Source organism: Homo sapiens, chromosome 17 (assembly GCF_000001405.40).
Source record: "Homo sapiens chromosome 17, GRCh38.p14 Primary Assembly".
In the NCBI taxonomy this organism is placed as follows: domain Eukaryota; kingdom Metazoa; phylum Chordata; class Mammalia; order Primates; family Hominidae; genus Homo; species Homo sapiens.
In genome coordinates, this window is record NC_000017.11 from 50,805,897 (window position 1) to 50,820,015 (window position 14,119).

General features: G+C 47.6%; 3 annotated features.

Moving 5' to 3' along the window:
- Positions 271 to 492: a silencer, noted in NCBI's record as "fragment chr17:48883528-48883749 (GRCh37/hg19 assembly coordinates)". NCBI's record gives its function as "represses an EF-1alpha promoter that drives an FKBP-Casp9 reporter gene in an ReSE screen in phorbol 12-myristate 13-acetate-treated (for megakaryocytic differentiation) K562 erythroleukemia cells {active_cell/tissue: K562(+PMA)}" and the evidence as "EXISTENCE:reporter gene assay evidence [ECO:0000049][PMID:32094911]".
- Positions 11,711 to 11,790: an enhancer, noted in NCBI's record as "active region_12390". NCBI's record gives its function as "activates an Ori minimal core promoter by ATAC-STARR-seq in GM12878 lymphoblastoid cells {active_cell/tissue: GM12878}" and the evidence as "EXISTENCE:reporter gene assay evidence [ECO:0000049][PMID:35858748]".
- Positions 13,394 to 13,453: an enhancer, noted in NCBI's record as "active region_12391". NCBI's record gives its function as "activates an Ori minimal core promoter by ATAC-STARR-seq in GM12878 lymphoblastoid cells {active_cell/tissue: GM12878}" and the evidence as "EXISTENCE:reporter gene assay evidence [ECO:0000049][PMID:35858748]".

Consider the following 14,119-nt stretch of genomic DNA (forward strand, 5'->3'; position numbering starts at 1 on the left):
AACACCTGGAGAACTTTCTTGCACTTTCTGACCTCCAGGGTCTCGACAAGCCTGGGCGTGCCCCAGAGGTCCAGTTTTTATGAATATTGGAGCTCCATGCTGTTCATCCAGGAAGCTCAAAGTTAAATGAAACACCTGGGGACCCCACAGAGTTATTATATTGTGGGGGGGTGCTAGTCTGGGCCCAGGCAGGATGCCCCATTTTCTCCACTTCAGGGAGCACCTGGGATTTGTGGTGGGAGATGGAGCTGCCCCCGTGAGGACTCTGGCTTGAAAGTGACAAAATCCAACATGAGCCAGCTTGGGCAGAAAGGGGGAATTTGCTAGAATCAACCAAAAACTTCAGCTGCACACTTGGCCGCTCCGCATGTGGGAAAGGCTGAGCTGCAGAGACCCTGCATCAGGTAGGGTTCCGGGATGGCATGGCAGCCCCACTAGGGCCACGTGGTTGGAATAGGGGGAGAAGCTGCCCCCAGGAAGAAAGGGTGTTCCCTGAAGAGGGCATGCGGCAGATCAAGAGGCAAATGTGCGCCTCACCAAGGAACTTGGCTTAGCGTTGCCAAATTTTCTCTGTGTTGGATTAGGGTCAAACTCTTGTTTGACTTGGCACAGAAGCTTGGAGGCCCGCTGGCTGCATGACTGCCTCACTCAGAGATGAGTATGGAGGGTCTAGAGGGGGCGCTGTGGGGCTCTGGCCAGAAACAGCCGAAAGTAGAAAACCATCCAAATATCCAAAAATTGATGAATGAATCAACACAATGTAGAACCTACAAACAACAGGCTGGGCGCAGTGGCTCATGCCTGTAATCCCAGCACTTTGGGAGGCCGAGGTGGGTGGATCACTTGAGGTCAGGAGTTTGAGACCAGCCTGGCCAACATGGTGAAACCCTGTCTCTACTGAAAATACAAAAATTAGCCAGGCGTGGTGGTGCACAATTGTAATCCTAGCTACTCGGGAGGCTGAGGCAGGAGAATCACTTGAACTCGGGAGGCGGAGGCTGCAGTGAGCCGAGATCGAACCACTGCACTCCAGCCTGAGTGACAGGGTGAGACTCCATCTCAAAAAAAAAAAAAAAAGAACCAACAAACAACAGAATATTATTCACCCATGTAAAGCAGTGAAGTACTGACACCCACCACAGTATAGATGAACCCTGCAAACCTCATGCTAAATGAAAGAAGCCAGACACAAAAAGGCCAATATTGTATGACTCCATTTATGTGAAATGTTTAGATAGGCAAATCCACAGAGACAGGAAGCAGATTTGCGGTTGCCAGGGGCTGTGGGGAGGGGGAATGGGAGTGATGGCTAATGGATTTCCTTTGGGGATGATGAAAAAGTTCTGGAACTAGGTAGTGGTGATGGTTGCACAACAATGTGAATGTCCTCGATGCCACTGAATTGCATACCTACAATGGTTAAAATGGTAAAATTTATATTATGTGTGTTTCATCACAATAATAAGAAAAAAGATGAGCTTCCTTCAGACAAACACATGGGAGCTTGCAGCTTGGAGACTCGGGAGAAGATGTGTGTGAGACGGTTACCCGCACAATGGGTGGGTTCCATAGCTTGGGTCAAGAGTTCAAGACCAGCCTGTGCAACATGGCAAAACCCCGTCCGTCTCTACAAAAATTAGCCAGGTATGGTAGTGCAAACCTGTAGTCCCAGCTACTTGGGAGCCTGAGATGGGAGGATGGCTTGAGCCTGGGAGCCAGAGGTTGCACCACTGCACTTCAGCCTGGGTGATAGAATCAGACCTTGACTCACTGACTCAAAAAAAAAAAAGAAAGAAAAAGAGAAAAGAAAAGAAGAAGAAGAAGAAGAGGAGGAGGAGGAGGAGGAGGCAACGAATCACAGAGGGAGAAACTGGAGTGAGGTGGTCAGGGTGCTGGGAGCCAATAGAAGCTGGAAGAGCCAGGGGCGGATTCTCTCTGTGAGCCTTGGCCCAGTGAAAATGGATTTCGGACTCTGGCCTCCAGAACTGTGAGAAAGTAAATTTCTGTTGTTTGAAGCCACTGAGTTTCTGGCAATTTGTTACAGCAGCCACCGGAAACTAATATAGTTATCATGAAACCATCATTAGTATAAAATTCTGTCTTATTAAAAATGTAAAATTAGGGCAGGCACAGTGGCTCATGCCTGTAATCCCAGCACTTTGGGAGACCGAGGTGGGCAGATTACTTGAGGTCAGAGGTTTGAGACCAGCCTGCCCGACATGGTGAAACCCCGTCTCTACTAAAAATACAAAAATTAGCCAGGCTTGATGGCAAGCACCATAATCCCAGCTATTTGGGAGGCTGAGGCAGGAAAATCACCTGAGCCTAGGAGGCGGAGCCTGCAGTGAGCTATGATCACACCACTGCACTCTAGCCTGGGTGACAGAGCAAGACCTTGTCTCAAAAAAAAAAAAAAAAAAAAAAAAAGAAAGAAAGAAAATGTAAAATAAATGTAATTTTGCTGCAAACCTTCTGGCATTTTGCATCACTCAAAACTATATTATCATACTTCTTTTAGGCAGAGAAAATATTTCATTGTTTGTGTGTATATGCATCAAAAGCACTAATAACTAAGACATTTAAAATATGCCATAATTTTAGAAACTCTGTTTTGAAATGTCTTGACTTTAAAAAATATACTGGGACCCTCAGAAAAGGGGAGTGGGCTGGGCCTTTTTTGGCTTCTGAGAGGTCCTGGCTGGTCCATGCCATGCGCCCATGGGAAGACTTCTCCACGCTGGCGCACTGATGACCATCACTAGGTGTCCTGTGCACCAAGTGAGACGGTCCCACAGGGGCTGGCCGGGCCTTCCCCAGCCACATCTGCACCACTATCCCAGCGACAACCTCAACAAAGATTCCTGGGTTCTTTCTGAGCCGCATAAGTCACCAACTCTGTCTTCTTCCCTTTCTTGCTCCCTTGCCCAACACATGCGCCTGAATCTCAAGCTCCAGAGAGTCTGCTGGTTGCCTGGGCACGGCCAGGGATCTGGGAAGATACTGAGGGAATCTCTAGCACACTAAAGCATGAGAACTTCTGCCTTAGGTACTGGGGGAGAGAGAGAGAGAGGGAGAGAGAGAGAGAGAGAAAGAGACCTCAACTTTGTGGACTCCAGCTCACACCAAGAGAGGCTAATCTGGGTGAACGGTAGCCCTTGTGGAATGGGGCCAGGAGAGATCCTTCCTGCTGCTGTCTTGGAGTTGGGTGAACTTGGCAACGTTCTTTCAGTTCACTGGATCCCCTGTTCCTAGCCAGGTGACATTGATAGGTTCTCTGAGGGACCAAAATCCTGCTTGTAGGGTTGAGGTCAGTACTGTTGGGGCTGTGCACTTGTAGACTCGTGCCTTTCCAGGAGATAAAGGCATCTGGAGCCAGAGCTACAGTCTGGATTGTGGGGGAACAGGAAAGAGTTCTCAGAGAAACAAGGCCGAGTGTCAGGCTCTGGTGGAATAAGGCTATTGATAGTAGAATAAATAGGAATTTAGAAACCAGGAAGGGAGGTCAAGGCTGGTAGTTCAGAACGGAGGCTGTGAAAGTACCATGCAATCTGGAGGCCTGTTTATATGCAGAGCTTGCTGTGTGGCGCAGGAGCAGCTTTAGGGCTCTGAAAAGGAAGTTTTAATATGGTTTGAATGATGGTATCCCCTCCAAAATTCATGTTGAAACATAATCCCCAATGCAACAGTATTAAGAGGTGTGGCCTTTGGGAGGTGATTAAGTCTTGAGGGCCTATTATTCTTATTAAAGGGCTCAAGGTTGAAGAGAGCTCCTCTTGCCCTTCCACCCCTTTCACCTTGTGAGGACACAATGTTCGCTTCCTCTGGAGGTTGCAGCAACACGTGCCCTCTTGGAGGCAGACAGTAGCTGTCCCCAGACACCAATCTTGCAGGCACGTGGAGATGGACTTCCCAGCCTCCAGAACTGGGAGAAATACATTTCTTTAAAAAGATTAAAAAAAAAATTTTTATAGAGATGGGCTCTTGCTATGTTGTCCAGTTGGTTTCAAACTCCTGACTCAAGCAATCCTCCTGCCTCAGCCTCCCAAAGCACTGGGGTTCCAGGTGTGAGCCACTGTACTTGGTGGAGAAATACATTTCCGTTGTTCATAAATTACCCAGTTTGTGGTATTTTGATATAGCAGCAGAAGCAGACTAAGATAGATTTAGACTTTCCTCTCAGCTTCCCAATCCTCCAGCCTAGATGGGGTGAGATGAAGGAATCTCCATTTCTAACCAGCACCCCAAGTATGTGCCTAACACATGTGTATGTATGTGTGTGCATGCCTACATATTTGTGTTTAAGTGTATGTATATGTGTATGTACTTGTGTACATGTGTGTATTTGCTTTTGTGTATGTGTGTACATGTATTTGCATGTTTGTATGTGTGTTTGTATATGTCTACCTGCATTTGTGTGTTTGTATCCATGTGTACATATACGTGTGTGTGTGAGTGTGTGTGCATGCATTTGTGTATATATATGTGTATTTGTATGTCTGTGTGTGTGTGTGTTTTTCTTTTCCCATTTTTTTTTTTTGAGATGGAGTTTTGCATTGCACTCCAGGCTGGAGTGCAATTGTGCGATCTCTACTCACTGCAACCTCCGTCTCCTGGGTTCAGGTGATTCTCCTGACTCAGCCTCCCGAGTAGCTGGGATAACTGGCATGTGCCACCATGCCTAGCTAATTTTTTTTTGGTATTTTTTAGTAGAGATGGGGTTTCTTCATGTTGGTCAGGCTGGTCTCGAACTCCCGATCTTAGGTGACCTTCCCGCCTCAGCCTCCCAAAGTGCTGGGATTACAGGCATGAGCCATTGCACCCGGCTGTGTGTATGTTTTCCTAGGCAGACTTGAGAGGACTTGGTGACTGGCTGGAAGGTGAAGAGAGGGAAAGAAGGTGGTCAGAGATAACTGATGAGTCTGCCTAAGGGACTTGGGGGACTTCACAAGATTCCAGGAGCATGGCTGACCCAATGCACACTGTATAGTTGCATGATTGCAAGTAACTGGGAAGGCAGTTTGGGTCTTAATTGCAAACACTTGCCCAGAAAAGACCAGCACGGCCGCAGCACAAGGAGCCTGAGTAAAGTGCCCCATCCAGGCTGGCCTTTGGGATCCTCTTGTCCTTGGTTCTCCTGGCTCTGTGTTGTCCACAGACCCTCCTGTCTGTTTTCAGTGGCCCGCACTGGGCAAGCACAGCACACACACTTCCTAGCCACCTGGCATTGATCTCCTACAGCCCCAGCCTCATCACTTGATTAGCCTCATCCACTGTGCTCTGACGTTCTGGGGGCTCTTCCTACCCCATCTGCAGGAGGCTGAGCATGGTAAAATATTTTCTCTCCCCTGCTGTGGCTTCCAGCCACTGGACACTTCTCTGGGCTTTGTCTCTGCACCACTCCCAGCCATAGGAGGGGCTGTGTAGACCACCCTGACTTATGGCAGGAAGAGAACAACTTTCCAGTTGAGTGACAATCAAAAAGATCTCCTCCTTGTGCAGGGATCCATCAACTCCAAGTGAATCCCCTTCCCCCTCACCCACCCAGCACAACCCAAGCTTAACCATTTCATACCCAGTGTATAGACCTGGTGACACTGTTCTGTGGGGCTTCATGGTGACTTCCTTCCTGATGGAGTGGAACAGGAGAGGGGCAACTCTGATGCTAAAACAAGCGTGGGGTGGAGAGAGGCTTGGAACAGTGATGAGGAACTAGAGCTTCTGCAAGGATGTGCAGAGTTGACAGAGGGACCTGAGGGCCACAGACGGGGAGTGACAGAGCAAAGGGCAGCATAAAGCACCCGCAGAAAGATGAATCAGTGATGTGCTTGCATATATGAAACATTGCAAATTTGAAACCCTTCCTGGAGTAAGGGCAGGCCCAAGGTTGGTAAATGTAGCAGCTCTGTGACACCACCGAAAACTCATTTGGTTCCTTGTCCCCTTCGCCTCGTGCCTGTCCTCTTGGGCTGCTCACCTGGACTCAAGGACGGTTTCTTTTTTTTTTTTTTTTTTTTTTTTTGAGACAGGGTCTTGCTCTGTTGCACAGGCTGGAGTGCAGTGGTGCGATCTTGGCTCACTGTGCCTCCATCTCTCAATCTCCTGGGCTCAAGCAATCTTCCTACCTCAGCCTCCCAAGTAGCTGGGACTACAACACATACCACCATGCTTAGCTGATGTTTGATGTTTTTTATTTTTTTGTAGAGACAGGGTCTCATTATGTCGCTGAGGTTGGTCTCAAACTCCTGAGCTCAAGCGATCCTTCTGCCTTGGGATTACAGTGCTGGGATTCCAGGCGTGAGCTGCCGCTCCTGGCCTCAGAGAGAGTTCCTATAGTTCCAGGCATCAGACCCTCAGACTCAGAGGCAAAGTGACACAACTGCCTTATTTTTTGTCTCCTTTTAAAAATGAAGAACAAGACGGCCACAGTGGCTCATGCCAGTAAACCCAGTGCTTTGGGAGGCCAAGACAGGAGGATCTCTTGAGCCCAGAAGTTTGAGACCAGCCTGGGCAACACAGTCCACAAAAAATCGAAATGTTATCTGGGTGTAGTGGTGCGTGCCTATAGTCCTAGCTACTCAGGAGCTGAGATGGGAGGATCACTTGAACCCAAGAGGAGGGAGGAGTGGGGAGTGACAGCTTAATGGGTGCAGGGTTTCCTGGAGGGTGATGGATATGTTTGGAGCCAGGCAGAGGCAGTGGTTGTACAACACTGTGACTGTACGAAATACCATTGAATTCTTCACTTCATTTATTCATTTATTTAGACAGAATCTTGCTCTGTTGCCCAGGCTTGAGTGCAGTGTCATGATCTCGGCTCACTGCAACCTCTGCCTCCTGGGTTCAAGCAATTGTCCTGCCTCAGCCTCCCTAGTAGCTGGGACTACAGGTGCATGCCACCACACCTGGCTAATTTTTGTATTTTTAGTAGAGACGGGGTTTTGCTATGTAGGCCAGGCTGGTCTCGATCTCCTGACCCCAGGTGATCCGCCCACCTTGGCCTCCCAAAGTGCTGGGATTACAGGTGTGAGCCACTCTGCCCGGCCACGAATTGTTCACTTTAAAATGGCTGATTTTACGTTGTGTGAATTTCACCTCAACTAAAACAATTAATTCATTTTTTCTTCTCCAACAAAAATGTGTGGCATTGTGGCCTGTGCTTTGCGTGCTGTTAGCTGTCACAGGACATGCTGATGAGGAAGGTGCATGCGATGCTGGCCCCTGCAGGGCGTATGTTCCAGTGGGAAACAGACAAGAACAAGCAATGGAGCAGTAGGTCTTGGCACAGATGAGGTGGCGAATACATATTTATTAAATAAAATAGAGACAGATATGGGAGCTCATAGGTGGTCAACAACCCAGTCCGAAGGTCGCAGAAGATTTCCTGGAGAAAGTGGTATCTGAACCAAGACCCAGCAGAGGTTAGAAGTCAGTGGCAGGAAAAACCCCCAGGGGTGGGTGAGAGTTTGGCGGATTCCAGGAACTGAAGGATGCCCAGTATGGCGTGGAACTGTGTCCAACAGGGCGAGGGGTGTGACACGGAGCTGGAGAAGTAGGCAGGAACCAGATCAAGAGGACTTTTGAATGATGCTAACTAACGGCTGTTAGTGTAGGCATCCCTTCTGCTGACGGTATGCTCACTCTCATTCCTTTTCTAGTTCCAGCCAGGTAGTAGAAGAATTAGGAAGGGATGAGTCTTGAGTATTTATTATCTTCATGTGAGTAAAATTCATTATAGATGGGTGAATGAGTGGATGGATAGATGATAGATAGATAGGTAGGTAGATGATAGATACATAGATACATAGATAGATGCATAGATATATAGATTAGATAAATACATAGATTAGATAGATGATAGATTAGATAGATAGATGACAGATAATAGGTAGATAATAGATGATAGGTGATAGATTAGATAGATAGATGATGGATAGACAGATGATAGATTAGATAGATAGATAATAGATAGATGATAGATTAGATAGATGAAGTATAGATGACAGATTAGATAGATAGATGATAGATAAGAGACAGATGATAGATAGATTAGATAGATGATGGATAGATAGATGATAGATTAGAATAGATAGATAGATAGATAGATAGATAGATAGATAGATAGATAGAATAACTGCTGCAGCCATGTTGTGACCATGAGGAGAGAGACAAGGCAACATGGCCAGGAGGAGGTGGCAGCTCCCACAGAGAGGCCTGGTCACATCCATCATCTTGGAGCAGATCCCTGGGAGGAGGAGGAGAAGGAAGATGAAGCTAAGAGGCCCTGGGGTTGGTCCTCAGGGGAAGACTATGACTCCTGGTGACAGAGATGCTGGAGCCAGAGGGCAGAGGGATGAGTAGGGGAGCCAATCCCAGACAGGGCAATGGCATAATAAACTAATTCGTAACAAGCAAGACAGAGAGAAGACAGGCAACAGATATTTTAGAGGCACCACCAGTAGGATCTGGTGGCCTCTTGGATAGGGAGGAGGAAGAAAGGAGGATTCATAGATTTTCCTGCAATAAGGAATTTGCTGCTGAGTGCAGTGGTTCATGCCTGTAATCCCAGCACCTTGGGAGGCCAAGGCGGGTGACTCGCTTGGGCCCCAGAGTTTGAAACCAGCATGGACGACCTGGCAAAACCCCATCTCTACAAAAAAATAGAAAAATTAGCTGGGTGTGGTGGTACGTGCCTGTAGTCCCAGCTATTTGGGAGGCTGAGGTGGGAGGATTACCTGAGTCCTAGTGAGTCGAGGCTGCAGTGAGCTTGCCTACACTAGATACTTCAGATAAGTGGAATCTTGCAGTCTTTGTCCTTTGTGTCTGACTTCTTTCACTTAGCATAATATTTTCAAGGTTCACCTATGTTGGCTGGATGTAGTGACTCATGCCTGCACTTTGAGAGGCTGAGAGGGAGGATCACTTGAGGCCGGGAGTTCAAGACCAGTCTGGGCAACATTGCAAGACCACATCTCTACAAAAAAGAAAAGAAAATTAAAAAGGTTTCATCCCTGTTGTAGTATATATCAGAACTTCATTCCTTTTTAAGGCTAAATAATATTCCATTGTCTGGATATACCACATTTGTTTATTCATTCATCCGTTGATGGACGCTTGAGTTGTTTCTCCCTATTGGCTCATTGTTGAAAGAAGCTTGGTACAGGTTGCCCCAAGTTTGACAACAAATCCTAAACAACCCTAAACATTTTCACGGCATTAGTAATATGAATTGCAAAGGTGAAAAAAAGTATTAAATTCTCATAATAAAAAGAAAAATAGAATTGATTATTTTTCTTTTTTTCTATAAAAATTCATATTACAAAATCATTATAATATGAAAAGGCAATCAAAGAGTAGGTAGTCAAAATGTAGGAAGGAAAGGATTATAGTCAGGCACTTAATTATAAGAATATTATGTTAATTTTCTAGATTTGCTGAGGTGGGTGTTATCAGTTTTTAAAAATGTGTAATTTGTGATTTTTTTCATATTCTAAAAACTTGAACGCACACTTTTACTTGTAAGTTTATATTATTTTTCATAAGGAGAGCCTGCCCATCTCCCAATACTGTATAAGCTTTTGGCACTGCACCTGGATCCCCTCTGCCAACCCGGGGTCCACAACTCTGCCCTCCTCTATCCACTTCCTAGCAGCGTTAACCAAAGCATGGCCACTTCCTCCTTCTCTAAGTGCTTTGTCTCCTTGCCTTCTGTGATTCCACCATCTCCTGGCTTTCCTCCTATTCACCGGCTGCTGGATTTCCTCTTCTTTGCTTGTTTCCTCCTTCTCTAGACCTCTAAATGTAGCAGTATCCTGGGCCTTGGGACAGGTCCTTTTCTTCACCCACCTGGTGACAGTGCCAAGGCCATGGCTGTAAATATCTTTCTTTTGTTTTGAGGCAGGGTCTTGCTCTGTCACCCAGGCTGGAGTGCAGTGGCGTGGTCACAGCTCAACCTCTTGGGTTCAAGTGATTCTCCCACCTTAGCCTCCCAAGTAGCAGGTGCACACCACCAGGCCTGGCTAATATTTAAATATTTTTGTAGAGACGGAGTCTCACCTGAGGCTGCAGTGAGCAGCCTATCTCAAAAATAAATAAATAAAAAATTAGTATCTTTTTTTTTTTTTGAGATGGAGTTTCACTCTTGTTGCCCAGGCTAGAGTGCAATGGTGCAATCTCAGCTCACTGCAAACTCTGCCTCCTGGCTTCAAGCAATTCTTCTGCCTCAGCCTCCGAGTAGCTGGGATTACAGGTGCTCATCACCACACCTGGCTAATTTTGTATATTTAGTAGAGATAGGCCATGTTGGCCAGGCTGGTCTTCAACTTCTGACCTCTGGTGATCTGCCCTCCTCAGCCTCCCAAACTGCTGGGATTATAGGCATGAGCCACTGTGCTCAGTCAAAAATTCACATCTTGAATTTAGCTTTGTCCAAATAGAATCTTCACTCCTCCCCTTTCCACACCTGTTCCTCCCCGCTTCTTCCTTGTCTCTGGAGCAGCACGGAATGGGTGTTCAACGTGGTTTGTTGATGGTCAATGGCTGGGAGGGACAGTGGTACTTCCTGTTTCTGAGGGCTATGGCCGCTGACCTGGTTTGGGGAACTGACTGCCCCTGGGCTAAACTTCTATACAGTTGCCTTTGGGTGGCCATTGGTGCCCAAGCCCTGGGCGTCCTCTTAGAGCCAGGGGACCATCTAAGCCTGAGCAATCATATCTGTTCTTTTAATTGCAGTCAAATGCATGTAATGTAAAATTTACCTGAAGTGGTAATTTTAAGTTGTACAGTTCAGTGGCATTTAGTCCATTCACAACATTGTGTGGCCATCACCATGATTTAGTTCTAGAATATCTTCACCATCCCAAAAGGAAACTTGTGACCTATCAGCAGGCCTCCCTACCCAATTCCCTGCTTCCCTCAGCCTGGCAACGATTAACCTGCTTTCTGTCTCTACCTATTTGCCTGTTCTGGACATTTCACATAAATGGAATCAATATGTGGGCTTCTGTGTCTGGCTTCTTTCACGTGGCATAATGTCTTCAAGGCTCATCACGTTGTAGTGTGTATCAGAACTTCCTTCTTTTATAAGGCTGAGTAATATTCCATTGTGTGGATGGACCACATTTCTATATTTGTTCTTGAAGGAAGTGGAAGGGAGTGGAGGCTCCATGGCAGGGCAGGTATATGCCGGGGGCTGGAAAAATTCAACCAGGAGCACAACGATGCCAGCTCCTTGGGGTGTGGCTGGGGGTGCTGCAGCCCCTGAATCATCTGTCAACCCCATCTGTGGTTTCCCACACCGTGGTGAAGGCTTGAGGTGAGTGCTGTAGGGCTGACAGCCACGGGGTCATTACGGGTGAGATTATCCAGCGTCCGAGCTTTCTGCCCTACAGCCCCACATTCTTTATGCCTCAGGCAGCTTCTTCAAACCTCCCCGCGGAGACAGGAGGTCCCCTCCTCGGTCAGGGGAGGGTGAGGGCTCCGTGCCCCACGGTGCCGCGGTCAGCAACACGGGTTGAGCCCACGCGGGGCTCCCCCCAGCAGGGGGCGCTGAGACAAGTCGGGTTCCAGGGGCCTTTCTCCTACCAGGGCTGCTTGTGAATTTCTCCTACTTGGGCTGCTTGTGAATTTCCACCTTGCTGCGGTGTCTTCTTCCTCGGTTTACTTCACACATATTTGAGTGAGGATTACTTGCCCTTGGGGAGTCTGGACGGCTCCCCAATTTTGGGATGCAGCTAGTGCTGTACTGGCCGCCTCATAACCACCCAGGGAGCGTGTGAAAAGGCAAATTCCTGGACATGATCCCAGTGGGACCAGGACAGAGTCCATGAGGCCTCCAGGTGATTCTCATGCCCAGGCTTGGGACTCCACACGGCCCTCCTTCAAGTTCACGATCTGCAGACATCAGGCTTCTGCCTTCTACGCTGCACCGTCTTGCTTGCGGGCTCATCTCTCCTTTTAATCAATCCATTCAGGTGAACCAACCACAGAGAAATGGCTTATTCTATGTTTACACCTGAAAAATATTCATTCATTCATTAGTTCAATAGAACTTTATAGAACGCCCTATGCCAGGCACCAGATATACCTTGGTGAATAAGACACGGTTCCTGCCTTGAGGTCTGGCTGGGGAGGCGTGTCAATACATTCCAATGTGATGAATGCTAGGAAAAGCAAAACGCTACGATCAGCTCAGGGTGGGATCACAGAAGTGGATGCCTGGCTTACCTGGCTCGAATTTGGGGAATCACCAGGAAGAGGTGATTTCTCAGTGGAGACTAGCAGGATGAGCAGGAAAATTCCCCGGGGACAGGAAGTCAGAAAGCAGAGAGCAGTGACAATTCTGGTGGGGGGCGGAGGGAAGCAGAGAACTGAACCAAAACATCATAATTTGGGCATAGGCATTTTAGCATTCTAGATTTTCTTTAAAATTCATGATTCAAGAGATAAAAATATAAGTTTGTTTCTAGATATATGACTAAGGTCTCAAAGAGAACTACTTCCCTAATTAGTCCACTATGGAAAGATGTATTCAGATTATTTACGGATAGGGGAAGGCCCTGCATAACTTCTGTGTCAGTCTCCGGAATGGCTCATATGCAAATGGAGAAGGAATCACTGGATCTGGGTGGATGCCTTCTGGGGAACAGAGTTGTCTTTCGGTGTTCCAGGAGCTGCAGATACAACTTTGAAGGCAGTGGCTCGAAACCCTGGCTGCAAGTAAAAATCACCTGGGAGTTTTTTTTTAATTTTTTATTTTTATTTTTATTATTTTTTTTGAGACGGAGTCTTGTTCTGTCGCCCAGGCTGGAGTACAGTGGCATGATCTCGGCTCACTGTAACCTCTGCCTCTTGGGTTCAAGCGATTCTCCTGCCTCAGCCTCCCGAGTAGCTGGGATTACAGTCATGTGCCACCACACCTGGCTAATTTTTGTTATTTTTAGTGGAGATGGCATTTCACCATGTTGGCCAGGCTGGTCTCGAACTCCTGACCTCAAGTGATCCACCCACCTTGGCCTCCCAAAGTGCTGGGATTACAGGCATGAGTCACTACACGCCTGGCCACCTAGGAGCTTCTTAAATCTACCACACATGGCAACCACTCTGGCAACTGATATATTAACTGTTTGGGGCTAGGGTGCAATGTCTGGGTGGAAGGGGAAGCTTCTGTAAAGGAGATGAAGAAGAAGCTACCAGGGAAGTGGGTAGAAAGCCAGGAGAAAAAAGGTCACAACACAGATGTAGGGGGAGAGTGGTCAGGAAGGAGGATGTGGTCAACAGGTCACAAGCTGCAGAAAGGCAAGAAAACGAGGACTGGTTGTGTCATTTAGGGCCATGGTAGTCACTAGCAGCAGGTGACTTTAGCAGCAGGTGACTTTAGCAGCAGGCTTGTCAGCAAAGTAACGTGTGGGAGGCTGGATCACAGAGTTCAGGAGAATGAGTTCAGGGACTTGGGAGGTGAGAAAATGGAGCCAGGATGCGGACTGACTTGGAAGGTAGAAAGAGGCAGGGCTGTTCATGGAGGGGGAATACGGGGTGGAAGGAATGATGTAATGATCTGTTGAGGATAAGAGAGACATGAATGTGTATAAAGGTGGCAGGTATTTGGGAGACAGAAGGCGTAATTGATGGTATAAAGTTCCTAAGGAGGTGGAAAGAAAGGGAAGTGTTGGGATCCAACACATTGTTGGCAGCATTGACCTTAAATAGGAGGGACACCTCCTCAGTTGTAACAGGGTGGAAGGTGGAGAGGGTGTGGTGGGGGCAGGGTGGCTCATTTTACTTGGTGGGGGTCAAGAACATCCATCACTCAGAATTTACTCATGAATGCGGTGACTGGATTTTCAGAGGCACGTGGCCTTGATAGAGGCCTCTCTCTACGTCCTCTCTTTCTTTCACGTCTCCCTCGTGGCAGCCAGACCTGGAGGCACTGTCCCAGTGATGAGTTAGCTGGGGGAGTGTAGGGGCTGGCCACCCTTTCTTTCTGGCCCATCTTCTCCACCTGTGGCAGGACCCTTGGGGAAGGAAGCTGGAAGGTTGAAGCCTGGCCTAAGCCTAAGCCCCAGGGTTCATCAGGGTCTACTATACTAAGGGTCTCTGCATTGGGGGCAGGGCTCAGGCACCA